Genomic DNA, 26568 nt, shown 5'->3' on the forward strand with positions numbered 1-26568 from the left:
GAACGCTGTCTCAAAAAAAAAAAAAAAATACAAAAAAACTCCAACTCACAGCCAGCCCACAGGAAGGGTCCCAGCCAGCTAAGCCCAGAGCCAAAGCAGCAAGAACAAACAACACAGTAATCCCCACTGACCAAGCACCACTGCATGCCTGACACTGTGCACATGACCAAACCTGATTCCAATCCTGTCACAGGTCAGGCTACAGAGGCAAAGTGGGGCTGACCCATCTCCTGACCAACTCTATGTCATTGCCTTACCACGAGCCCTGAGAACAGTCTAAACAGGCCCTGATGGGGCCAAGGGAAGAAGAGCACCTTGACTTCCCCTAAGGACAGGCCCTCAAATCCCAGGACAGAAAAACTCAATGCTGTACAGTCCAGGTGGCAGCAGGGCTAGAAGTCAAAGCAGAGATGGGGATCCCAGTGCTCCTCCTGCTAGTCTGGTTACCTGGAATAAATGTGCCTCAGCTTTCTAATGTATCTCATTAGGCTTATTCTAAGGACTAAAAGAAGAACAGGCCTTGAGCAGGGCTTGGCCTACAGTAAACACCATGGAACTGTTTTTAACGTTAAAGGCCAACTCTTCCCAAACTAACATATAAGCCTATTGCAACTTCATTTCAAGTCTGGGACAAAATCAGGATAAAGGCAATTTGGATGAGTAAATGAATAGACACAGGTAAGAGATGTTTTAAAAAGAAAGGCAACAAAGGTATATAAGGACTTTCTATCTATTACAAAGTCAGCGTAGTAAAAGAAAATGATGTATCAGTAAGAGTTATCACAGAAACAAAACCTATTTATGTAGGAATTCACGTCATTGAAACAATGTGATTACAAGTCACTAGGGAAAAAAGTCCTATTGCATAAATTCATAGGAGGGAATTTCCCATTTTACAAGGCTGAGGATTTCTGTAGAGAAACACTCCCAGGATGCAAAATAGTCTTGTGTAGCCAAATCAGTTCAATACCCAGGCAGTCCAACTGCTATGCTCCTCCTACTCACCAGCCTGAACCTGAAGCTCTCCTGCAATAGCCCCGAGGAAGTTCACAGCAGATATCAGCTCCCCACCCACCACTCTGCCCACCTACAGCCCCTTGGCATAGGCTGGGCCTTCCACCTGGAATGTCCATCCCATCCTGTACTGAGACTTCAAAGCCCACCTTCCTCCTCCCTCAAGGCAACACAGAGCCCTAGAGAACCACTTGCTTCTCTTATCAGAGAGCCTGTCACCCTACACTGGCAAGGCTAGCTGATCCCCTAGACCAATAGCAGGACGACTCTGACATAGGGCAGAGTTTGCCAGCCCTTTTCTTGTGAGCCCCTGGATTTTCACCTGCTTCATCAAAACCCTAGACCAGGCTGGGCCAGGATCCCAAGGGTGATCCAGGGTGGCCATACCATCAGGCTGGGGCAGCATACTCCTACCTGGCAGGAGGAAAAGTGGGCCACCATAATCACCCGTCCAGTGCCCATCCTCAGCCTGCAGCCCCACGTAAAATGTCATCCCGTTCAGAGCCCCCTCAAAGGCGGTGTGGGCTTTGGGCAAGTCCTTAAAGTAATTCTTCTGCAAAGAGATCGAAAAAAAAAAAAAGAGATAGCTGACGGGACTGTTGCCCGGCCAGAGGAACCCTCTTCACATACAGCCCAAGTCAAAACAGTGAATGTAAATTACTTTAAAAGTTTCAGCTGTTTCCATCAAAAGTCTGAAACTCTTTGATGAGAGCATCACACCTCAGCAAAGTAAAAGAACAGCTGCACATTTTCGTTGCTTTATTTGCCAGTCATGTATTCTTCACAACTTCTCCAAGATGTCTGGAATAAACCAGGCACCCAGACTGTAGGGTGGGGCACGGGTGCCGACCTGGGCCTGGGACTCGGGCCTCTCAAAGAGGGCCCAAGGGGCGGCACAGCCTTTCCCTCGGTGGCCGGGGCTCGGCAGGAGACCCTGTTTACACTGCAGACTCTGACGACCAAAATCTCTTACAATGCACACAACTAAGACAGTGGATCCAAACACTTTTTGTGAATAAAAACAAAGTTACAACTATCTTTGCAACTCTCCTATAAGTCAAAAATTATCTCAAAATAAGGTGCTAAAAAATAAAACATTAGGAGTCTCCTATGCGTGGTTTAGAGATGAAGGGGCTGAAGCGGAGGGGCCCGCGAACGCAGTTCCCGTGGGCGCTCGCCTTGGGGATGGGCGTCGCTGGCCGGGTCCTCCCACCCGCCTTTCTGAGAGAAAACGTGCTCCTCACGGCTCACCCCTCAGGGTCCCGAGCTCGCTGACGCTCCGCGGAAGCAACTTACGGTGTCCAGCCCCAGGGCGTAGGCTTCCAGGCCGGTCTGCTCGCGGCCGGCGCGCTCGTCCTGCAGGTAGGTCCACGTCTGCCGGCCCCTCTCGCAGTTGAGTCGCCAGCGGCCGAGGTCGGTGGCGGGCTCGGTCTTGTAGGGGCCCCCTCGGCGCCGCAGACACCTGAGGACCACCGGCCATCAGCGACCCAGGCCCCGCCCCAACGCCGGCCGCCGGCCCACTGCCCCAGTCGCGCTCTCCTCAGCACCTAGGACCACCCCGCATTCGTCAGGAGCCCGGGGCGAGGGGACTCACGTGCCCTCCGTCATTGCTGCTGCAGTGCTCTACGCCGCCCACTGCCAGCTGCCAGATGTCCGCACCCGGGACCTGCCGCCCAGCCCCGCCCCTCCCGCCCCTCCCGCCCCTCCCGCCCCTCCCGCGCGCACTACGCAGGCGCAGGCCTCGGCAGGCGCTCAGGCTTAGGTGGGCCGACGCCCACGCAACCAATCAGAGCGCCGCGAGCGTGACCCCGGGGTGTGCCAGGCGACCACAGTGGTGGAGCGCTTGGTGCCCCATGCGGCGTGGGGCGGGGCCTGAGGGAGCGGGGATGGTGGGTGAAGGCGACGGGACGGGGGAGGCGGGTGGGGCCTTATTGGCGGGGCATGAGGGGCGGGGCTGGTGGGTGGGGAGGTGGGGGCGGGGCTGGTGGGTGGGGAGGTGGGGGCGGGGCCTGGTGGGTGCGGGTGGGGGCGGGGCTGGTGGGTGGGGCCGAAGGGCGGGGGCGGGGCCTCTCGCGCGCCCTCTAGAGGCTTGCGTCCCGGGAGCCCGGCCTCGTGCGCCGCGCTTTGAGGTGAGCCTCTCTGAGAAATTTGTGAGGAGGGTCCAGCCGCGGGTCGGAAGGAAGGACGTGGGGAGCGAGGCTCGAGCGAGCGACAGCGAGTGCGAAGGTCGGGTGGCAGGGAATTGCTCTCGCGCTGCAGGATTTGCCCGGACGCCGGGGCCGGGGGTGGGGGCGGGAGGCCGCCCTGAGGTGAGGTGGGCGCGGGCCGTCGGCTCCAGTGCGAGACCAGGGGGAGGGCGGGGCGGAGCGGAGGAGCCGAGGGCGCCGCCGGCGTCCCTGGGAAGCTGAGCGCCGCGTAGCTTCGCCGGGGGGAGTGGGGTAGGCGCGGTGAGGCCGTGGGCCCCCACACCTGGCGGACCACAGGGGCCAGAAGCCCTGGAGCCCCGCCAGGGAAGGGCTGCGTCGCTGGCCAGGACCGAGCGCGGTAGAGCCTCAGCTGCTCACGGGGTCGCTGGAGTTGGGGGTGGCCCCAGGAGAAATTAAAGGTGAAAAGCCTTAGCAGCAGAGGGAAGAGGAAGATGGAGGCAGAGCGAGTGACCGAACTTGGAAGGGACAGCCGGGCGCAACAGGGCAGGGGGCGTCTGACTGTTGGAAACATGGCTGACGTCTGGAGGCTGCAGCCAGTGGTCCGTAAGTCAGGTCAAGGACCCACAGAAGACCCCAGCATGTCTTCACCTGGCCCACAGAAGCCCTGACATCCAGTTACAACTGCCCCAGCCTAGTGAGCATTTCGGCACCCACTCCTCAATTCCTACCCCCAGCCTAACTTCGAAGGGGCGGTGAGCCACAGCAAGCCGGAGGAGAAAGTTGGAAGAGAGAGTGGACAAAAGAATACCCACAGGCACCTTCCCCACAGTGGAATAGCGGGGTTTTAGACAATCAAGGATAATCACCTCTTCCTATCCCAGTTCAGAAACGGATGAAAAAGACACAGCAATAAGATGGGTGGGTATCAAAATATCAGCTTTGCCACAAATTAAAAACCTAGCTTGAAGGACAAGGCTTAAATCTGCAAGCAAGAGGGCAAGCTACTAAATCACCCGTTAAGTCAGACAAACATATCCCCCAGCCTCTAGGCCATGAAACTGCCTCACCAAGCACTATGCAATTGAGTGCCCACCAGAAGACACCCCTCCAGTCAACCCACAGACCCCAGAAAGAGTACCCAGAGGAGCCTGAGCACACTCCACCCTATCTGTTCTCTGAAATTCAATCAAATGAGTCACTCTACTTCTCTGGAAGCAGAAAGAGGCTGGAAGTTTTTCTCCAGGTAAGTTCCTCCATGTAGAAACATGAAGAATAGGGATAAGGGGCTTCAGCCTGGATGGAATCTCACACTGAACCTGGCAAAGCTAGGTGAGGGAAGAGGTTTCAACTGGATAAGAGTTTGAGTTTTGATATCTTAATGGACTGGACTTTTTATGAGTAAAATAATCCGCTCTTTTTAATGTCTGAAAGAAAAGAAAAAGCTGTAAACTACGTCTGAGAATTGACACAGTTAAGCTTCTAGGGGCAGTCATGAGAAAAAACACTGTTCCTATCTGCTTACATACTACTGCATCCAGCTTATTCATTAAGCCAGATACAGAAGGCTCTGAGGATTTTGGCCTCAACAACTGGGTATATGGTGGTGGTCATTTACTAAAATAGAGGTGTCTTTTATTTATTTAGTGACAGGATCTCAGTCTGTCACCCAGGTGGGAATGCAGTGGCACAATCATTAGCTCACTGCAGCCTCAAATTCCAGGGCTAAGTGATCTTCCGGGCTCAGCCTCCTGAATAGCTGGGACTACAGGCGTGTGCCACCACACCTGGCTGATTTTTTTAAAGTTTGGTAGAGACACGGGGTCTCGCTATGTTGCCCAGGATGGTCTCAAACTCCTGGCCACAAGGAATCCTCCCACTTCAGCCTCCCAAAGTGTTGGGATTATAGGCATGAGCCACCACACCTGGCCTAAAATAGGGAAAGTTTGATTGGAAAATTCAGATTAAAGTGGGGACAAGTTATACTAGAGATGCTTATTAGACATTCAAGTGAAATATTGAGTAGGCTGGCATTCAGGAGAGAACATAATGCTAGAGATAGGAATTTGGGAGTCATTTGCTTTCAGGTAGTATTTGAAATCATGAGATTGGACAAGATGAATTAGGAAATGCACATAAAAAAGAGAAGTTCTAGAATGAGCCCTGGGGCACCGACCTTTTCCAGTATAGAGGAATGGCCAGAGAGAGGAGGAAAACCAGAGGAATATGAAGTCATAATATAAGTGAAGACATGGTGATCTTTGCTGAGGCTTTGAAGGGATTGCAAAATGAAGACAGAATTTATTATTGGATGCAACAAAACAATGTATTGGTGACTGACAAGAGCTATCTAAAGAGACATGGGGGGAAAAGCCTAATGGCAGAATTTTGAAAGAAATTTTCAGTTAAACATGGCAGACTGAGCATAAACATTAACCTCCATTTCCTGCCCAAACCCTACTCACATAAAGTAATAAAAGACCAAAAAAACCCCACAAAGAATGGGAGAGGAGACACTAGTAAGCAAGAGAAGTCAACAAAATTATAGAGACTGGGAATGGATGGAGAAGTGATAACTGAGTTAGCTAGAGAAAGTTGAGACTTACGTTTGTGGGTGAAGCCAACAAGAGACCATTCCTGCCAGCAAATACCAGGAAGGTGCAGAAATTGGAATAACTGGTGGAAAATTTTTGTGAGGAACAGTATGACCATAGATCCCCTCTCCTACTTGGGTGGAGGAAGTCTCCAGTAGTTGAATCAGAGTAGGTGTTACCTCAGGCATGAGGCATAGCTGAGGACCACTGAAAGCAGACAGATTGAGTTAAAGTCTACACATGTGGGTCCAGGCTCACTTCTCCCACTTAGCCAGATAGCATGAGATAGTGGGAGGATCCCTCTGGAGCAGCTGGCCCACAAGAGTCCTGCAAACACTGGCAACTATGACCTAGTAGAAAAACAAACCTATTAGCTGGCAGACTGTACCCATTGACAGTTTCCAACAAGCACCATCATCAGCATGAGCCAGACATTTGGGGAAAACAGTGCAACATTACCTCCAGCCATGCAAGTGATCCATCTTGGACCACTGACCCAGTCAAGCCTTCAGATGACTATAACCTCAGCCAATACCTGACTGCAGCTGCATGAGAGATCCCAACAGAAAGCTGCCCAGCTGAATCCTCCTCAAATTTAAGCTACTATATTTGGGGTAATTTGTTCAATAGCAACAAAAAAACTAGAAAAAAGGACTACAAAGTGCCCAGCACAATAAATTGGGCAGGGGTTGGGGAGGGAATGGGGAGGCAACATATGAAGTAATGTCATTGAGAAATTTGAGAACACCAGGAATAGAGATGATCTCAAAAATTTCCAGCAACAAAAAAAGCAAAAACACAAAGGAACGATTTCCAATCTAAAATTCTATTCTCATTCAAATGATGAATCAAACGTAAGGATAGATAAGTCCAAAAAACAAAAAAAAACCATTTCTTTACTCTCACAACATCCTTTTGGCACCAGATGTAGAGAATTTCTCCCCACCGACAAGCAAGCATTCAGCTGTACAGCAGACACCAGCTGGGTATCCGCTTCAATCCTGCACCGTCTACCTGGAGATAGCAGCAGATCACACAAGTTGAGGACTCTGTGCCGCAAGACTGAGCCCCATGTCCAGTGTCAATCACAAGCCCCAGGTTGTTTTACCTGTCCTTCTGGGTTCCCAAGACCCCTTCCTTGGCTTTAATTTACAAGAGCAGTTCACAGAACTCAGGGAAACACATGTTTATTACAAGGCTATTTTAAAGGCTACAAATAGCCAGATGAAAAGATACACAGGATGAAGCCTAGAAGAGTCCCAAGAGCAGGAGCTTCTGTCTGCAAGGAGTTGCGAAGTGCCATTCTCTCAGCATGTGGACGTGTTCTTGTCCACCTTCCTGGAAGCCCCCACACATTTGGCTATCCACAAGCTCTCTGAACCCTGTCCTTTTGGGTTTTTAGGAGCCCTCATTACATAGGCATGATTGATTAAATCATTGGCCACTGGCGATCAACGTCACTTTCAGTCCCTCTCCCCCAACCTCTGGGAGTTTGGGGGGTGGGCTGAAAGTTTCAACCCCTCTAATCATGCCCTGGTCTTTCAGATGTCCAGTCCCTATCCTGAAGCTACATAGGAGCTGTCCGCCATCAGTCATCTTACTAGCATACAAAAAGACATCACTTTAGAGATCTCAAGGATTTTAGGAGTTGTATATCAGAAGGCAGAGACAAAGACCAGATATATATTTGATAATATTACAGTAGAAATAAAGACATTTTAGATATTCAAGCTCAGGAGGCTACTAAAGGACAGGCTCCATCAAGAAGAGAAAACCAAGCAAGAGGAAAATATGATTCAGAATCCAGGAAATGTCCAAGTTATGGCAAGAAGACAGGGGGTTCTCAGGAACATCTCGAAGAGAAAGTGGAGCATATTACCTGATGCACATGACTTTGTTGGGAAGAGCTTTACATTTAGGGCAGCGACTTTTGGGTAAAGTAGTGACAAGAGCATAGAAAACCAAGCAAATGAGAAAAACAATGTAATTAACTCCAGGAAAAATCAAAAGTTGTACCTAAAGGAAATGTAATCATAAACCAATAAAGGGCTCAACAGGAAATGGTAAACATACAGTTATACTAAACTGTGAATGCAGGTTTCAGCCAATATCAAACTGCTTAGGGAGACTAATAGGAGAGGAAATGTGGGTGTCGAGGGTGGGGGTGATAATATGTTGTGGGAAAGACAGTGTAAGAGAAGCTAACTCCTCTTCCATTGTAGGAAGTCAACAATGTCAAGTCAAGATTAAGAAATAGCATTATTTAAGTCTTTACATGAAGCTAATCACTAAAGATCCCTGAGTTGAGTAGTGTGTGTTTGGAGAAGCAGGGATTGATTTGGTGGAGGAAGAGGTTCTCTTCTTAGTGCTGTTGTTTTCTCAGTGAAATAAGGAGGACATGATCTAAGAATGTTGGAGGTTTGAAGAGAATGAGAAGACATGAAATAGAGTCTGGGGATGTAGGATTACAGTCAGGAGATGCTGAGTGCCAGTTTAAGATTGGTGGTCATACGCAACATCACCAAGTCTATTAATACCTCTTTCTGTATATGGCTCAAATTTTATCCCCTCTCTTCACACCAATTGCTAACAAACTCACGCTTATTCCCTTTGAATTTCACCTGGATGGCTGCAGCACCCACCTCTCAAGATTCCTGCCCTACATGCCATTCTTAAAAGAAAATGTGACCAGATCACTTCTCTGCCTAATCTTCAACAACGGGTTCTCACAGCTCTCAGAAGAAGGTGACAAGAATCTCTGACCTCACCCTGCTGGCCTGTTCCCCTCACCTGGCCACACAACCAAGCTGGTACCTCCACGCTTTCATCATGTCCTCTCAAGTACACTGTCTCCAGCTACACCCCTGCACTCCTCTCCGGGAATTCTGTTTCTCCTCTACCCAACCAGACCCTGTTCCATCCTCTGTTTTTTCCTTGCTACCAATTCAGGCCCACGCCTCATGCACATTCTCTGAGAATTATGTACATAAGTACCTGACTCTCCTGGATGTAAGCTGGGTGGGCTTAGCAGGCAGAGGCCCTGTGTCTTACTTTATCTCTGCATCACTGATGTCTGGCACATCAAGGACTGCAAGTTTGCTGAGAGAATGAATCGCCTTTTATACATGGAAATGTAAGCTCTAAACTGCCTCAGAGCATATGCTGGTGGGTGACAATCTGAGGAGGTCATGAATATAGGAGAATATTGAAGAGGTCACACAGGGGAAACAACTTTTCATTATGAAAAACTGGGAGACTGACATTTAAATGGTTTATCTGCATGATTAAATTAATCACATTTCCAACAGTGCATCAAGCATCTGAGAATAACATTATTTTGAGTAAAAACAGAAACTCTTCGGGAGAGACCCCCTCCCCACAGGTCAGGCTGCTCAAATGTCCACCATGTCTAGCAGCGCAGAGAGATGGAGCTCAGAGGCAACTTCCTCTTCCCTTGAACTCCGGATCAGCCTTTCCAGGTGCTTTAGTCGTTCGCCTAGACACGTTCCTGTCGCCTCTGACAGCTGCAGTTGCTCCCTCATCATGTCACTCTATTTGAATAAAAAAGAAACTGAACAGTTTTGGGATGTCAATAAACCACGACCTATCTCTGGGAAGGTACTAGATCTGGATCATGTTAGAAACCTCATCTGAGTAGTCATTTATTTTTACAGAGGGAAAAAAATTATCCTTTGTATATCCTTCCAGCCTCATTTAGCTCGTACATTCAGCTGGTATCTGTATATAGACTGTTTGCCTTTGTATTCTATCATGAACAATTTCCAGTGTCAGTCATTTTTCACCCAGGCTGGAACGCAGTGGTATGATCGGAGCTTACTGCAGCCTCAAACTCCTGGGCTCAAGTGATCCTACCAGCTCAGCCTCCTGAGTAGCTGGGACAACAGGCATGTAGCACCATGCCTGGCTAATTATGTACTGTAGAGATGAGATCTCTTTATGTTGCCCAGGCTGGACTCAAGCTCCTGGACTTAAGCGATCCTCCCTCATCAGCCTCCCAAAGTGCTGGGATTACAGGCATGAGCCACCACGCCCAGCCAGTCATTTTTAGAAAATATCATCGTCAAGGGCTGTGAATTATTCTATCACATGAATGTGTTATAATTGTTTAATCAGACTCCCATCTTCGGATATTTATTCTGTTTCGACTTTCATACAATAATGCTACAGTAAACATTTTTATACATTAATTTTTGGGGAATATCTGGTAGGTCAGAATTCTTTAGGTTAGAATTGGTAATTCAAAGGGTATGAATATTTTTAAAGTATTTGCCAAACTGATGAATGGAAACAGTACATCATTTTAATTTGCTTTTCTCCTCTATTGAAGGACTTCCTAAAGCCAGTCCAGGAGCACAGTTTTTACCTGTTCAGTGGCACATATCTGTGATTGAAACTCTGTTTTTGCATCTTTAACCACTGAAGGAAGAATGGTAAGGTAAAAAGACCTTAGGCTTTGGAGCCAGTTGGATCTGGCTTTGAAAAGCAACCTGACCACTCACTACTTGAACACTCTTGGGTGAGGCTCTTGACTTCTGGGAGCTTACCTTCCTCATTCATTAGTTTTCCTCAGGAAAAATTAATCCCAGAAGAGAGGTCTGGGTAATGCCAAAGCTCAGACAATATGTGCTCCAACAGAAGCTGCTGTCATCACCTTAATGCCCTTAATTACACATCAGCACACAGTTACAGGTCTTATTCAGTTCTTAAGAATATTTCAATTCTATTCTTCATTTATTTCGTAGGCAGAAACTCAAAATCAGTTGGGTCTCTTTAACAATGATATGGATAAAGTTTAAGAAAAGGTCTAATTTGAGCTAATAATTTGTCGGTCATCAAAACATCATAGGATAAATCGTGATATTACTTTTTTCCCCAGCCATTCTCTCAATCTTTAATTCTTATGTAAATGCCAAATGTATACGTTCTTCTCACCTGTGGGCTAGTAGTTACAGATGTTTTCATCACAGGTTCAATAGTGTGAGAAAGAGACACTAGAGTCTGAGGAAGATAGAGGGGAAGGGAAGTTAAATCCGTAAATGCTCCTGAGTCTTCAGACAACCATTGCTGAAGCTGATCTTCAAACCTGAAACAATATGTAATAAATTCAAAAATATTTGAGCATTAGGAAGTTAACTATTGTTCATTAATCTTCTATATATACTTAAAAACTTTTTAAGCCTTTGCTTTTTTAAAATTTTATATAATTTTTTTTTTTTTTTTTTTGAGACAGAGTCTCACTCTGTTGCCCAGGCTGGAGTGCAGTGGCATAATCTCGGGTCAGTGCAACCTCTGCCTCCCAGGTTCAAGTGATTCTCCTGCGTCAGCCTCCTGAGTAGCTGGGATTATAGGCAAGTGCCACTGTGCCCAGCTAATTTTTTGTACTTTTAGTAGAGATGGGGTTTCACCATATTGCCCAAGCTGGTCTTGAACTCCTGACCTCAGGTGATCCACCCACCTCGGCCTCCCAAAGTGCTGGGATTACAGGAGTGAGCCACTGTGCTTGGCCAATTTTATTATTATTTTTTTTTGACAAGGTCTCGCTCTGTTGGCCAGGCCGGAGTGCAGTGTTACAATCTTGGCTCACTGCAACCTTGACCTCCCAAGCTCAAATGATCTCACCTCAGCCTCCCAAATACCTGGGACTAGAGGCGCATGCCACCCAGCTAATTTTTGTATTTTTTTGTAGAAACGGGATTTTGCTGTATTGTCAGGCTAGTCTACAACTCCTGAACTCAAGTGATGTGCACACCTCAGCCTCCCAAAGTGCTGGGATTATAGGCATGAGTCACCACACCCAGCCTTAAGCCTTTGCTTTTTACTAAGAATATAACTAAGTTATGACATCAACTGAGAAGCAGAAATGTACTTATTAAAAATTTAACAACTTCCTATGATAAAGCTTAATTTAAAAAAAAAAACTAGGCTGGGCTCGGTGGCTCATGCCTGTAATCCCAACACTTTGGGAGGCCGAGGCGGGCAGATCACCTGAGGTCAGGAGTTCAAGATCAGCCTGATCAACATGGTGAAACCCCGTCTCTACTAAAAATACAAAAATTAGCCAGGCATGGTGACACGTGCCTGTAATCCCAGCTACTTGGGAGGCTGAGGCAGGAGAACTGCCTGAACCCGGGAGGCGGAGGTTGCAGTGAGCCAGATCACGCCATTGCACTCCAGCCAGGGCAACAAGAGCAAAACTCCATCTCAAAAAAAAAAAAAAAAAAATTAGAGAAACCACTTCCCTTTAATTTATAAATCCAATTCCAATTTATATTTAATGAAAAAGGTGGTATTAATCCAAAAACAACTGCTTCGATGTGTTACTTAACATTACTTGTAATTGTCTTGTTTGGCTTATCTTATTTAATTTACTTTGGTTTTATGCATCTATAATTAATTCTTCTGACATTTTCCAAATGAGTGGATTGCTGCTTATAGCTTAAAATTAACTCAAAATAATATCCCACTGCCACCTAACATACTCTAGAGCTGTCTACTTCCATATACCGGTCTTTTCAAGAAAAACAATCTTGGCCAGGTGCAGTGGCTCATGCCTGTAATCCCAGCACTTTGGGAGGCCAAGGCAGGTGGATCACCTGAGGTCAGGAGTTCAAGACCAGCCTGGCCAACATGGTGAAACTGCGTCTCTACTAAAAATACAAAAATCAGCCAGGCATGGTGATGGGTACCTGTAGTCCCAGCTACTTGGGAGGCTGGGGCAGGAGAACTGCTTGAACCTGGGAGGTGGAGGTTGCAGTGAGTCGAGATTGTGCCACTGCACTCTAGCCTGGGCAACAGAGCGAGACTCTATCTAATAAAAAGGAAAAAAAAATCTCATCCCAAACCACTTAAATTATAGAGACTGATTTTAGTAATCGGACACATTCATTCACCCTTCCAAAACATATTCATTAAGCCTCCTCCAGATGCTAGGCATCATTCTAGGTACAAGGAATATTGCACTGAAACAAAACAGAGGCCCTGCCCTAAGCAATTTATACTTTAGTGAGGAGAGACAGACAAGGAACACATAACAAGAGAAACATGGTTTGAAGATGAGAAAGACAAAGCAGAGCCATGGAAACAAGAAGGTCGGAGATGGGCAAGCAGGGCCTAACAGAAGCAGACATTTGAGTAGAGATCTGAAGTGAGTACAAGATCAGCCATGGGGATGCTGGGGAGAATGGAGGGGCTGGACAGTCCTAGGCAAAAGGAACAGCAAACTCAGAGGCCCAACTGTGAACTGCCTACCATGCTCAAGGAAGGAGCGGAGGTCAGAGAGGAAATGGGGGGCAGATCACTCAGGGCCCTGGCCACCCCTGCAAAGTTTGCCTTTGATTGCAGGTGAAAGAGGGAAACCACTGAGAGGCTGTAAGCAAGCAAGTGACACGACCTCCATCTTAACTCACTTGAAAGGCACCCACCAGGTCTACCAAGACTAAACTGCAGCCTACTGTAATAATCCAGAAGGAAGATGATAGTGGCTTGAGCCACGTGGTGGCCATGGAAGTCATAACAAGTGGTCCAATTCTGAATGTATTTTCAATAGAGCCAATAGGATATGTGAATGGGCTGATGTGAGGGGATGATTCCAAGGCACCTGATCTAGGCAGCTGGAAGGATGGAGCCGCCATCAACAGAGATGACCACCAAAGGAAGGGGTTGGTTGGAAGAAAGCCGGGAACTGGATTTGGGATATGTTAACTTTGCAGTGGCTACCAGACATCCAATAGGTGTCTAATGAAGATTTCAAGGAAGCAGTAGCATGTTCAAGTGTGGAGTTCAGAGGTTTGAGATACAAATTTGGAGCTGTCAGAATAGTGATGTTACTTAAAAATCCATGAAACTGGATGAAATTTCTGAGGAGTAGGTACAGACGATGCAGAGGAGAGGTTGAGAGAATGAATCCAGGGGGCAGCTGGGGGATGAGGAGGAACCAGCAGGGCAGGAGGGGGACCACGGACATCCTAGGAGCAAGGAGGGGAGGATCAAGTATGGGATGCTACCAAGGACTGGGATTCACGGTCATGTTCAACCCTGGGCCTTCATCCCCATGGGAAAGAAGGCTGAAGAAGTGAGTATCACAAGCGTTTTTGAGGAGTTTTACCATTAAGAGGGCAGAAACATGAAGTGGTGGCTAAAGAGGGAAGTGGGACCAAGACAGGGAGGCATGTTTCATGTCTGTGTGCTGCTGATGGGCACCACCTAATATGGGGAGGGGTGGTAGCACGAGAGAGATACTCATTGAATGAATGTCCTTGGGTAGGTGGGAGATGAGATCCCAGCCCAGGGAAGGGCTGACTGACTACGAGCTGCATGGTTCGTTTCCAGCAACAAGAGGCGTCAGGAAGGGGATATAGGGAGGATGCTGGATGTGGCTGGGAGGGCAGGGAAGGCAGAGGACAACCTGTGGAAGGTCCCTTATTCCTGATTCTACTCAGTAAAATGGTAAACATGGCCATCAAATGAAAGCAAAGGAAAGGTATGCATGGGAGGGAGGGAAGTGGGCAATGTAGAGGAGGGGCAGCCCCAGCTCCTGTCCATTCACAGCATGGGATGATCCACCAATGCCTCAGGCTCCCAAGGGCAGGGTGCCTGTGGCCAGCCATAGTGTTCAGCACTCACCATCTTCTGAGCAGACTTAACCACATGAATTTCCCAGAAAAACTTAACACTGACTTTCAATAATAAATAATAAATGAAATTCACTTCAATATAAACAGTTAGAAACATACTATCTAGGGCACTGCTTCTGTCTTCAAAGAGCTTTTAAATAGTTACATCACTAAAACTGTTGCTAATAATCCACCTGCCCTTCTCCATCCTGGCTGTCTTATATTAATCAAGCAATAACCAGTCTCCCCTCACAGCATAAAGCAGACTAAACACACATGAATTAGAAGGAAGTGGGCTTCACCTCTTGTTCTCTTCTTTCTCCAGCAGCAGACTGCTCGACAAACACTGCGCCAAGAGCTCCTCAGCAGAAGCTCCTCGCATCAGATCCTCTGTGCTGGGAATCCTCCCCTCTTGAGCACACTCTGTGCTCCTCTTCCAGTTACGGTGCATGTGAAGCAATGGTATGGGAAAATTGTTTGCAGAAGGATGAAAAGGCTTTATTGCCAAACTGTAAGTACATGATTTGAAATGTTTATGGTCAAGAGAAAATATTTCTACAGCATCATGTAAAGCATGTAGATACATTTGCACATGTGCATTAACATGTAAGAACATGTGCCTCAGACACATGTGCCCTCCTGGAACAGCTCATGCTGGCCCCATGCCTGCTTCCAAGCTTCCATCAAGTCAGGGAGTGGAGCAAAGAGGGAAGGCAGCCCCTGCACTGTAGGGACCCTTATGCACAGAGGCATTGAGACTGCCTGTTCCTCTTGGAAGCTTCTGCTCTCAAGAGGCAGCTAGGTTTTTGGAGCTTCTCTGCTTCATGTCTTGCTTCCCACCCTAGGGTTCCAGATTCTGTTCTTCCCTAGTATTGGCAAGGTTTTTTATAGATAGCTCTTGGATACATTTGGAAGTAATGTTTACAAATGGTGAGAGAGAAGGCATCTGACATTTTTTTCTAAACACATGCCAATGTTTGTCTTTTCCCCACTAATTTCAATAATTTGGCCTAACACTTTTGTCACATATTCTGACTCTTTATTCTGATCCATTTATCTACTCTGGCATCCCCACATGGTTTTAAGTACTGGAGCTTTACTGTATGTCTTGGTATCAGGCCAAGCAAACCATGTTAGTCTTATTTAAAACTTTCTCAGCAATTGATGCATATTTGTTTATCCTGATGAATTTTAGAACTTACCAGTACTGACATCTTCACAGCATTGTATCCTGTCAACAACCTAGTCTGAACCTCAATGGTTCAGGTTTCCTTTGCACATACAGGCCCTGAGAACTCATATGTTAATGAGAAAGACATTCCGGGAAACCAGGAGGTGAGGAGACCAAGGATTAGGCTCCACTCCTATTATGAAGATGAACAGTTTTTAGAGTATCATGGAGTTGGAGAAGGTACTTCAAGGATCTCTATGGGGAACAAGAAGGAACAGCAAAGTTCCACCATCCTGTGCCCTTTCTGTTCAGGTTTATTGTTGTGAATGAGAATTTTTTTTTTTTTAACATGTTGTGGATCTATCTATCTGATCACCTTATTGAACTGAGAATGGTTCTATGGACTTGACTTTTCTTGGACTGACAACTGTACTGTCTGGAAATGACAGTTTCTCCTTCCTTTCAGTATTTGTGCCTGTCTATCCCACATCCCTGTACTGGTCAGGATTTCCAGGACAATAGTGAATAATAGTCGGGACAACAGGCTGGTTCTGATTCCACTGTTCCTAACATTCTACCAAGAAGCATGTTTTTTTTCTATTTTGGTAGTTTTATGTTAGGTAGCCTTATCAAGTTAGGACTTTTTTTTTTTTTAACCCAAGCTAAAGAAAGTACCCAAAATAAAGAAATTTTATCAGGAACAGGTATAAATTTTAAGAAACGTATTTCAACGCCTGCTAAAATTACCACTTATTTTTCTATTATGGCAACAAATTACATTAATAGATTTTCACTGTTATTGTTTATCCTGGGAGAAAGCATACTTGTGAACTTTTTTAGGTACTGTGCTTTGGAACCAAATTTGGAAGTGAGATGAAATGTCAGCTGTACTCTCCTGGTTAGGTATGATTTCAGGGTCAGGTATGCCTGATAAATGAAGTGAGATGCTTTAACTTTGTTCTAGAATAGTTTCTACTGCATGGGAATGATCTGTTCCTTGAGGATTTGTCACAGTCTGCCCACAGTGGACTGGATTTGGCATGTAGGATGTTAATTTCTATTTACTTTGCAAGAAAAATACAGTTTAGCAAGCAACAGAAACATACTGAACATGAACCTCACCGTCCCTCTCTCAGCTGTAGCTCCTTCTGCGTCTGCAACCTGGCTTGTTCCCACGACAAAGGAACATCATATTTTTTCAAATCGTTTTTAAAAAAATACACACATATCTGACCATCTTCACTCAGCGCCTCTGAGAAAACAATACAAAAACAGATAAAGAGGCCAGCCTGGCCAACCCTGTCTCAAAAAAAAAAAAAACACACACAAAAAAACAAAAACAGGTACAAATAATATTTAAACAGCGACAGGTGGCATGTGCTTAAATTCACTGATTTAAGTGCAAGACCTTTGATTAAAGTCACACAATTATGTGACTTCCACACTTGGGTTAAATAGGCTCCCAGGGTCCATGCATCACTCAAAGTCCAGACAAGCTTACATCGAGACTGGCAGGGCCAGTAATGACTACTCAAAAGCCACAAAATCCTCTCTAAGAGCCATCCTAGGGGGCCTGTTTCAGGGAGGTGAGTTCAGGCTCTACCAGAAACTTCCTAGCCTGTCTCAATGTTTTTAAGTCACTCACTTGAAGAGGGAAGTCCTAAGGAAAGGAAGGATAGAGACCCAAAAGAAAAGCAGCAACATCAACTAAACATCTTCCTTTGCAGAAACTGGACCAGGAAAGTCTCGTGAGGAGCTGATCCCATTGCATCAAGCTCTAATTACCTGATGTAACAGGAAGCCGGGGGGGCGTCCAGTCTCTCAGCTTGTGGTTGATACACAAGGCGATAAGATCATCCCATGGGATCTCCATGACCGAGGGGCCTGCCCCATGGACTGGGGAGGGACTCTTGCTCTTCCACCTACAGTAGGTTCTGTGGAGCAGGTTCTCCACCTGGGACTGGAGGACAGGCTGTGTCTGGCGTGAGCTGGGGATCTGGGAGGCGTACTGGACAACCATGGAGCACACGGGGAGCCAGGGGGCTGGGGAGAAAGTGCCTCATTAGTTACAGGTTTGGCCAAAATACAGGTGAAAATGTACATGAAAACATTTTCTCAGGAGAAGGCAACTGTGAAGTTGAGAAGTCTGCTTTCTAAACACAGCAGAACCACAGTTGTTGAGGGGGAAGAGCAGCTTGCTCCCAGGGTCTAGGTGAGGGATGCAGACAGTCCCCCTTAACAGTGTTGCTAGCCAAGTTCTACCCAGAAGTTCTGACTGTACAGGCCTGTGGTTGTGCCTAGGAAATCTGTATTTTAACAAGCACCCAGATGAGTCTGGTATAAGCAGTCTTAGCTTATTTTGGGGAACCCCAACCTAACCAGAGCACCGAGGGCTTGTGCTGAGTGGTTTGCTTCCCTTTGGGTTCCTTCAATAATGAGCATGAGTTAGACCTACTACAGACCACACACCACAATTTAGAAGGGCGCCTGAGGCCCAAAGGGGAGTGTCTGTGCTAATGCCACAACTTCTGCCAGATAAGCAGCTCATTCCCTTCTGAGTGCATAGGAAGGAGCAGCCCCATGCCATACTGGGCTTGAGCCAGCCAGATGGCCTGTCGGATCTGTGTCAAAACAGCCCAAAGACCTCAGCCAGGAACAGGGGCACAGCCAGAGCCATAGAAGAAGGCCTCTTTGACAAAGAAAGAATGTTAAATCAGCACTGAGTGCCATGGCTGCGGCTTGGGGACAGGGCTACATGGTCCCCATGCTCTTTGCCCCTTGTCTGTTCTGAAAACAGGGACCCTGTGGGCAGGCAGGACAGGATCAGGGTTGGTGTTCCTCCCAGTACCACTTGTCACTTTTCTCCTGAAGCTGAGTGAACTCCCATGGACTGCCTTGCTGGTCAGGAAAGGCTAACAGCCCCCACTCCACAAAACCCAGCTTGTTCTGGCTCATGAACCCAAAGGACCAAAGGAAGGTGCAGGCGAGCACAGCATGGAGACACACGGAGGTGGACGTGCAGCCCTCACACTGGTGCCCAACACCTGCCAGACGGTTACTACAGTGAGAAGGAAGCCTGAGACTTGGCTGCAGCCACCCACCAGACCTCCCCAGGTCAAGCACGTACCCCCCAGGGGTGGAAGGTCCATCTGCGGAAGCTGGAACCCGAGCACAGCCTGCTTCAGCCAGGCCAGGTGCTCTGGGGCATTCCAGTGCAGGTGAGGAAGCAGCCGGCTGCCCCCTGCCTCAGCAAACTCAGTGACAGGCCAGGACAGGTCACACAGCTGTTCAGAGGACACCACAGAAGCCAGGAACTGCAGCACACTGTTAAACAGCTCAATGATGGCGCCAGGCTCCTGAGAAGCAAGACCGCCCAGACGCCTCTCTCTTCTGTCATGGAAAAAGCGGCCACTAAACTCATGGCCAATCCCGTCTTCGACGTACTGAATGAGAGTCTGGCAGCAGAGGTCAAGGGAATGGGGGCAGTGGGAAACCAGCCACTGCACTGCTTGCAAAACCTGAGAAGAAAGAAGAGACTTGGTTGAACAATTCACACTGTTTTTCAAAAACAGCTTTCTGAAAGGGCTTGATCCCCCAAGGTTGCCCACAGCAGGTAATACCAGAGTACTGGGCTCTCAACTGTGGTAGGAAGGGGAACAGAAGTGTCCTATGCAGTTGAGTTTAGCCTTCTAGGGCTCTGGAGACATGTCCAGTAGGGGCACTAAAGAGAGCCCCCAGATCCCACCTGGCCTGAGGAGGAGTGTGACCTGCATGGTTGCCCCATGGAAAGGCCCAGGCCCTCAGGAAACCAGCCCTGAACATCCCCTTCACCATGCACAGAAATGGAGTCTTCTCCTTTTTGGAAGGACTAACAGCTTCACTATGTGCCAAGGTGCCTTCACACCCTATGGTTATCTTACTTCCTATAGTTATTTTAATTCCTGGCACCTCTTTCTCTAAATTGTTAGCAAAGACTCCCCCTGCCCTATTTTTTTTGTTTTTGAGAAGGGGGTCTTGCTATGTTGGCCAGGCTGGTCTCAAACTCCTGAGCTCAAGCAGTCCTCCTGCTTCAGCCTCCGAGTAGCAGAGACTACAGGTGCGAGGAGCCACCACGCCCAGCTTCAGACTTCCTTTTTAAAGGAAACATCAAATAACATTATTTCTTCATATATTCAGAGGACAATTACCCTAGAAAAATAACTTCTGTATCTGACCTTCAGATATAAGACATGTTCATATTTTAAATTCATAGAAACAAAAACACTAAAAAATTTTACATGAACAATTTAATTTGCAGATAGCAGGACTGTGGGCAAATTTTATCTTTTATTTTGATTTCTGCTTATGTTTTTAGAAAGTTATCTGTATAAAACATACAACTGCTGCCAGGCGCAGTGGCACACCACAGTAGTCCCATATACTTGGGAGACTGAAGTGGGAAGATTGCATGAGCCCTGTAGTTTGAGGTTGCAGGGAGCTATCATCATGCCACTATACTGGGTGACAATAAAACCCTGTCTCTTAAGAAAAAGACAATGCAAACGCTAATATACACTCAATTCAAGATACAGCAAAAGGGGAAAAAACAAAATATCTTGACAGACCATTAAAAATGATGAAACCTTACCTTAGTTGAACCTTGTAGATCATTAATGGTATCAGGGATCTCGGTAACAGTGTAATCTGAAATCAGCTTAGCTGAAACCAAGTCCTGTAGCATCAGACCTTTAAGACAGACATAGATGAAGGTCACTTGCATTCTGCTGTCAGCACACCTGCTAACATATCTCACTGTGCTGACCCCACCCAGTCCTGCAGTGGACAGTCACCACAGGGGTTGCTGTCTCAGTGATTCCTGACCCCAACACTACTGGACCATCCTCAGACCCAGGGCCTCCACCCATTTATTAAACAATGCTGCTTCATAAACGAGACTTCCTTCACAAACCATCTTCTACTTCCTTCTCAACGGCGTCCCCTCCTGGGCTAGGCACAAGAACCACCAGAGGAAGCGCAGGCTGGAAGGGCTTAGCCTGCAGGAGCTGCTTGAGCTGCAGCAAGGCCGACAGCCAGTACACGTCCTCCTCTGCCATGTCCTCACTCTTCATTTTGGGGGGAAGCAGCAGCATGAGCCCACTGGCTCCCAGGAGGTCCTTCTGTGTCTCCACAGCATCAATGGCACCATCACTGAGGGCGCCATGGGCCACCTGCAACAGCATCAAGATCATCAGGAGAGATGCACCATGGGACGCATCAGCAGTGACTGATCTGCCCCAGAGCAAGTGCAGCCAAAGCTCTCCGTGCACTAAATACTGACTGTACTCCAGACAGGCCTCCAAGGGCACAGCTGGGCATACCCTGTAGTTATCTTACTTCCTGTAGTTATTTTAATTCCTGGCCCCTCTTTCCCTAAATCCAATTGTTAGCAAAGACTCCCCTCAACCTTTTTTTTTTTTTGAGAAGGGGGTCTTATTATGTTGCCCAGGCTGGTCTTGAATTGCTGGGCTCGAGCAGTCCTCCTGGTTCAGCCTCCTGAGTAGCTGAGATTACAGGTTCGAGGAGCCACCATGCCTAGCTTCAGACTTCCTTTTTAAAGAAAACGTCAAATAACATTGTTTCTTCATATATTCAGAGGACAATCACCCTAGAAAAATAATTTCTATATCTGCCCTTCAGATATAAGGCATGTTCATATTTTATTTTATTTTTATTTATTTATTTTTTGAGATGGAGTCTCACTCTGTCGCCCAGGCTGGATTGCAGTGGCACGATCTCAGCTCCCTGCAATTTCTGCCTCCTGGATAGTAGCTGGGATTACAGGTGCCCACCACCACACCCAGCTAATTTTTGTATTTTTAATGGAGACAGGGTTTCACCATGTTGGCCAGGCTGGTCTCGAACTCCTGACCTCAAGTGATCAGCCTGCCTCGGCCTCCCAAAGTGCTGGGATTACAGGTGTGAGCCACCGCGCCCACCCATGTTCATATTTTAAATTTATAGAAACAAAAATGAGAATAAATGCAACAGAATTAGTGCAAGAAACAGCCAGGTCAACAGGTAATTTAGCCTCCAGCTAGAATTGTGTTTGACCATATTACTATAACTTTAATTAACCTTAAACAGGTATAAAAAAGTTAAAGCTAGGCACAGTGGCTCATGACTGTAATCCCAGCACTTGGGGAGGCCAAGGCAGGAGAACTGTTTGAGGCCAGGAGCCAGGAATTCAAGACCAGCCTGGGCAACATAGCAAGACCCCATCTCTACAAAAATAAACAAAAATATAAGCCCATAATAATAGAAAGAGGGAAGGCAAGCCAGCAGCAGATGAGGGATTCTGATACATTTCTAGAAAGCAGCAAATAGGTGTGACCAATCCCTGGGTTAGGGAAGCAGAGGATGCCATACCTAAAGGCTGCAGATGTGGGTGTGTAAGGAGTCAGGTTGACTGAGCCTGCAAAAGCCCTGTATACCCAGGCGCTGCAGACACCAGGAGCCAAAGGTGAAGTTCAGAGCCTGACCCTATTGGCGGCACCCACCACTGCAGGCAACCTCTATGCAAAACCAGTCCCCCTGGGCCCCTGAACAGGAGTCCTGAGAGGATCCAGATGCAGGGCCATGGTCAGGCACAGTGGAAGGGACTCAGCGCCAAACCACTCCCAACCCTACCCTGAGAATACCAGCAGCTCCCCAGAAAGCAGATGGCACAAGTCCTTTCCAGAAAAACTGAACAGTCTAGGGAACAGCCATCCAGATCCAGACATTTGGGAGTCCCTCCAAAAAGCCTGGCTTGCCATTTAGCTACCATCCACCCCACCCCAAACACAGAACTTCTTGGCTAGCCTTTTAGGGCCTCACTCAGATATAGACAGATAGCCTTGGGTAAGGCATCTGAGGAGGGCCTCCAACATAAAAGAGATAAACTGGAGTAACAGAGAGGAAAAAAAAAAAAAAGAGGAACCAGATAATACGTGAACCAAAGAAAACTTAGACCCCAAAAACCCTAATTTCCTTGGAAAGATAAGATGATGCATCCAAAAAATAAGATGCTATGAAAAAGTCATGATAAAAAGAAAGAGGAAATAAGTAATATATATGGAATAAAAAATTCAGTAGGACAATTGGAAAATAAAGTCAAGGAACTCTTTCAGAACACAGTAGGAAGAGATGAGATTGAAAATAGGATAGAAAATAGGATAAGAAACTCAGAGGATCAATTGATGAGGCCTAACATCTATCTAATAGAAGTTCAAGAGAGAACAGAAAAAAGACAGAGTGTCATAAAGACATGAAAATGTCCCAGAAGTGAAATAGGAGTCTCTAGCCTGAAAGGACCTGCTAAGCCCTGCACAGTGAGTGAAGCTAGTCCAGTGCCAGTGTAACAAAGTGAATTTTTAGGACGCCATGAACAGAGAGAAAAGGCTTCCACAGAGAAAACCAGGCCACACAGAAAGGAACAGGAATGGTACAGCAACAATGGATGCTAGGTGACAGTGGAGCAAAACTGGAAGGCAAATAATTTTCTTTCTTTTGAGACGGGGTCTTCCTCTGTCAACACCGGAGTGCAGTGGTGCGATCACGGCTCACTGCAGCCTCGAACTCCCAGGTTCAAGCAATCTTCCCACCTCAGCTTCCCAAGCTACTAGAACTACAGGCACACACCACCATGCCCAGCTAATTTTTGTATTTTTTATAGAGACAGGGTTTCACCGCGTTGCCCAGGCTGGTCTCGAACTCCTGCACTCAAAACAATCCGCTCACTTCGGCCTCCCAAAGTGCTGGGATTACAGGCATAAGCCACTATGCGCGGCCAGGAAAATAATTTTCTACCTATAATTTTACAAACGTAGCTAAACTATGAAGCAAATGTCAGAATGAAATAAATGCATTTTCTTTTTCTTTCCCCCAGCTTAAGGTATTTTGTTAATAAAATCATTTTCATAATGGAAAAGACTCAGAAAATTCCCCTCGCATGACATATAACATCCAACAAGGGGCTGAACCAAGAAAAAATACTGCAGCTGCTGCTAATGGCAACACTGAGCAAGCACCTGGCCTGTGCCAGGCACTGTCCTGTGCAGTCTGTGTTTGCACTCATTTTATCCTCAAGAGCCAGATGAGCATCTCCACCAGACAGCACCTGCAGAGGCTTGGGCAGTTTATTTTACCGTCTCTGAGTAAAATAGGGATAATAAGTAACAGTACCCATACACAGGTGGCAGAGACGCTAGGGAACTTGCCCAAGGTCACAGAGCTTCCAAGTGGAGGAGCAGGGACACATATGCTCACAATGATGGCACTAAGGCACATGTTGCCTGGATGGAGACCAGCCCACAGATGAGAGTTCCAGGACAGAGGGAACATGGATGGATCAAGTGAAGTGACAGAACATTTGGAAAACTCTACCGAGATATATACGGCCCCCCAGTAAAATTAAAGAGATAAAGAGAACTACATTAAGTGAGACAATAAGGCAACTCTATTTCTTGCAGGAAAAAAATAATTGTGGTTATAGAACACTACTGGTTCTGAGGTGAATAGCAGTCACAGAGCCATCAAAATATGACCCCACTCACTGAAGTAATACAAAGTGCTAGTGTAGCTATCCCGGGAAGACGTGGAAGGCCGAGCAAGGACCATGGCACAAGAGGCCACGCTGTACCTAGTATGGTATGCAGTGGCCAAGAGGACCCCCCTGATTCCACCTAGTGTTCATGCCCACGTGTGATCTCCTGCCCCGTGAGCTGGGCCTAGCCACTCACTTCTGACAGACAGAAGCCAACAAAAGCAACAGGATGTCACTTCTAAGTTTAGGTTATAAACACACTCAGACTTCCATCTAGGCTCACCTCTTGCTCACTCTGATGAAAGCCAGCTGCCATGCTGTCAGCTGGGGAGAGGCCCATGTGGCAGGAACTGAGGAAGTCTTTGGCCACAGCCTGCAAGGAAGTGAATCCTGACACAAGCTCACTAGAGTGAGCTGGGAAGTAGATACCCTTCAGTCAAGCTTTCAGATGAGGCCACAATCCTAGCCAACATTTTCATTTCCACCCATGAGAAACCTTGAGCCAGAAGACCCAAGCTAAGCTACACCTGGATTCCTGACCCACAGATACCATGATAACAGACATTATTTTAAGCTGCTATGTTAGGAGTAATTAGTTATTTAGGAATAAGGTAACTAATACATTTATATTAATGGGAAGTCAGCAGAGAACATTTAAATGGATAAACTGAGAAATGGCTGTGTAAGTGTGTGATCTGGAAACAGGAGAAAAATGCAGCCCTGAAGAAAGGAGTTAAGAGAGGAAGGAGGAGCTACTATGTCTCATTTTAAATCACGTGGGTGGCATTATTTGACTTCTTTTTAAGTACACGGAAGTGTTACTTTCTTAAATGAAAATGAAGGTAACAGCAGCAGTAAACTAATTTCCAGTAGATGAAATGTGACTTTGTAATCCCAGGAAAAGGGAAGAATTTGCACCAAGAAGTTACTGTTACCTCAGAATGGCAAGAGCATGGATGGCTCTTATCATCATCTTTATACTTCTTTTACATTTCCTCATTTTTTAAAAGTTTTGTGTACATATTACATTTAGGAAATCCAATATATAGTATTAAAACAGAAAAAGTAAAGAAGCAGGCTGGGCTTGGTGCCCACTACTCAATTTGACTGGCTTAAAAAAATTTTTTAAACGACATGTACGGACAGACATAATACTTGCTTCTGAGCCTCCCAGTCTTTCAAAACCACATTAGGGAATAAGCAGTATTTGCATGGTTCCAGTGATATCTGGGAGTAAGTGAAAGTAATGAAAACACAGAAGTAAACACAAAGTAATTATAGTTCACCTTTATACACACGTTAACAGAAATCATCTGATCCCCTTTGCTGCTAAGTGAGTTGAAAAGCGAAAGCGTCTGAATCCCACCAGCATCGCTGGATGTGTCATCCACTGAGCCTTCATCTCCCATGAACTTGACTTTTAACCAATTTGCTAGAATTCTACAGATTTAAAAAAAACAAAAAACAAAAAAAACACTTGAAGAATCTAATTCTATATTTGAATTATAAAGACTTTCAGGAAAAGAAGAAAGAAAAATATCACACAGACCTAGGTCCACAAATACCACATCTTACTATGAAGCTGATCTGCACAAAACAGGCTGTTGTTTTAAAATGGAGCAACGATCTGTACTCGTTCTTTTTTTTTTTTTTTTTTTTTTGAGCCAGGGTCTCGCTCTGTCGCCCAAGCTAGAGTGCAATGGCACAAACTTGGCTCACCGCAGCAAGCAAACCTGCCTCAGTAGCTGAGACTACAGGCACGGGCCACCATGCCCAGCTAATCTTTCCATTTTTTTTGTAGAGTGTCACTCAAAGGGTCTCACTATGTTGCTCATGCTGGCCTCAAACTCCTGGGCTCAAGCAATCCTCCCTCCACAGCCTCCCCAGTTGCTGGGATTACAGGCATGAGCCACTGCTCCCGGCTTCTACTTGTTCTTAATTGGGCAGGAGGAGGGGGCACTCCATTCCATTAGAATGGAACTGGCTCATTCTAATGTGACTTAAAATTCTGAAGCATTAAGATTTTCAGCAATAGAAAACATCCCTAGAGTTTGAAATACATGTTTTTTACAGATCAAATTTCTCATACCTGAGACCTTAAGAATTCTTAAGTGACATACGAACTTAGCAAATGAGAAGACAGCTATTTTAAGAAATGACTCACCAGCTGGGCGTAGTGGCTCACGCCTGTAATCCCAGCACCTTGGGAGGCCAAGGCAGGTGGATCGCTTGAGCCCAGTTTGAGACCAGCCTGGGCAACATCACAAAACCCTGTCTCTACAAAATATATACAAAACTAAGCTGGGCGTGGTGGTGTGCGCCTGTAATCCCAGCTACTTGGGAGGCTGAGGCAGGAAAATTGCTTGAACCTGAGAGGTGGAGGTTGCAGTGAACAAAGTGTACCACACGCCAGCCTGGGCGACAGAGTGAGACTCCATCTAAAAAAAAA

General features: G+C 46.5%; 2 protein-coding genes and 1 long non-coding RNA gene across 12 annotated transcripts in view, besides 6 other annotated features; 1 reads left to right on the top strand and 2 right to left on the bottom strand.

Annotated features, from left to right (window-relative positions):
- The window catches only part of LSS (lanosterol synthase), a 40329-nt gene extending 37678 nt beyond the window's left edge, over positions 1-2651 (bottom strand). For 3 of the 4 annotated variants that reach the window (NM_001145436.2, NM_001001438.3, NM_002340.6), the window contains exons 1-3: positions 2609-2651; positions 2311-2476; positions 1429-1567 (exon numbers count right to left, since the gene is read on the bottom strand). In NM_001145436.2, the coding sequence (NP_001138908.1) occupies positions 1429-1567; positions 2311-2476; positions 2609-2622 (319 nt within the window). In that variant the 5' untranslated portion in view covers positions 2623-2651. Of the gene's footprint in view, positions 1-1428; positions 1568-2310 lie in introns of all 4 variants that reach the window. The other variant, NM_001145437.2, reaches the window with a different exon arrangement.
- Positions 1906-1975: an enhancer, noted in NCBI's record as "active region_18598". NCBI's record gives its function as "activates an Ori minimal core promoter by ATAC-STARR-seq in GM12878 lymphoblastoid cells {active_cell/tissue: GM12878}" and the evidence as "EXISTENCE:reporter gene assay evidence [ECO:0000049][PMID:35858748]".
- Positions 2406-2455: a silencer, noted in NCBI's record as "silent region_13413". NCBI's record gives its function as "represses an Ori minimal core promoter by ATAC-STARR-seq in GM12878 lymphoblastoid cells {active_cell/tissue: GM12878}" and the evidence as "EXISTENCE:reporter gene assay evidence [ECO:0000049][PMID:35858748]".
- Positions 2516-2685: a silencer, noted in NCBI's record as "silent region_13414". NCBI's record gives its function as "represses an Ori minimal core promoter by ATAC-STARR-seq in GM12878 lymphoblastoid cells {active_cell/tissue: GM12878}" and the evidence as "EXISTENCE:reporter gene assay evidence [ECO:0000049][PMID:35858748]".
- Positions 2692-2986: an enhancer, noted in NCBI's record as "tiled region #3947; HepG2 Activating DNase unmatched - State 1:Tss". NCBI's record gives its function as "activates a minimal TATA promoter and a strong SV40 promoter by Sharpr-MPRA in HepG2 cells {active_cell/tissue: HepG2}" and the evidence as "EXISTENCE:reporter gene assay evidence [ECO:0000049][PMID:27701403]".
- Positions 2696-2955: a silencer, noted in NCBI's record as "silent region_13415". NCBI's record gives its function as "represses an Ori minimal core promoter by ATAC-STARR-seq in GM12878 lymphoblastoid cells {active_cell/tissue: GM12878}" and the evidence as "EXISTENCE:reporter gene assay evidence [ECO:0000049][PMID:35858748]".
- Positions 3016-3455: a silencer, noted in NCBI's record as "silent region_13416". NCBI's record gives its function as "represses an Ori minimal core promoter by ATAC-STARR-seq in GM12878 lymphoblastoid cells {active_cell/tissue: GM12878}" and the evidence as "EXISTENCE:reporter gene assay evidence [ECO:0000049][PMID:35858748]".
- Positions 3108-25578, top strand: MCM3AP-AS1 (MCM3AP antisense RNA 1). Of its 4 annotated transcripts, NR_110565.1 has the most exons (4): positions 3108-3143; positions 4204-4404; positions 14711-14896; positions 23463-25578. It is a non-coding gene; the product is annotated as an MCM3AP antisense RNA 1 (long non-coding RNA). The 4 variants fall into 4 exon arrangements; NR_002776.4 differs by lacking the exon at positions 4204-4404; NR_110566.1 differs by lacking the exons at positions 4204-4404; positions 23463-25578 and adding an exon at positions 10101-10203 and having other exon boundaries at positions 14711-16876.
- MCM3AP (minichromosome maintenance complex component 3 associated protein) overlaps positions 9010-26568 on the bottom strand; it is a 51133-nt gene continuing 33574 nt past the window's right edge. For all 4 annotated transcript variants that reach the window (XM_005261205.5, XM_005261204.6, XM_005261203.5 and 1 more), the window contains 9 exons: positions 25406-25559; positions 20505-20763; positions 20184-20281; positions 18684-19074; positions 17342-17599; positions 16679-16808; positions 14688-14894; positions 10706-10856; positions 9010-9303 (listed from right to left, as the gene is read on the bottom strand). In XM_005261205.5, the coding sequence (XP_005261262.1) occupies positions 9145-9303; positions 10706-10856; positions 14688-14894; positions 16679-16808; positions 17342-17599; positions 18684-19074; positions 20184-20281; positions 20505-20763; positions 25406-25559 (1807 nt within the window). In that variant the 3' untranslated portion in view covers positions 9010-9144. The remainder of the gene's footprint in view (positions 9304-10705; positions 10857-14687; positions 14895-16678; positions 16809-17341; positions 17600-18683; positions 19075-20183; positions 20282-20504; positions 20764-25405; positions 25560-26568) is intronic.

The sequence above is a fragment of the Homo sapiens genome, chromosome 21, assembly GCF_000001405.40.
Source record: "Homo sapiens chromosome 21, GRCh38.p14 Primary Assembly".
Taxonomy (NCBI): Eukaryota; Metazoa; Chordata; class Mammalia; order Primates; family Hominidae; genus Homo; species Homo sapiens.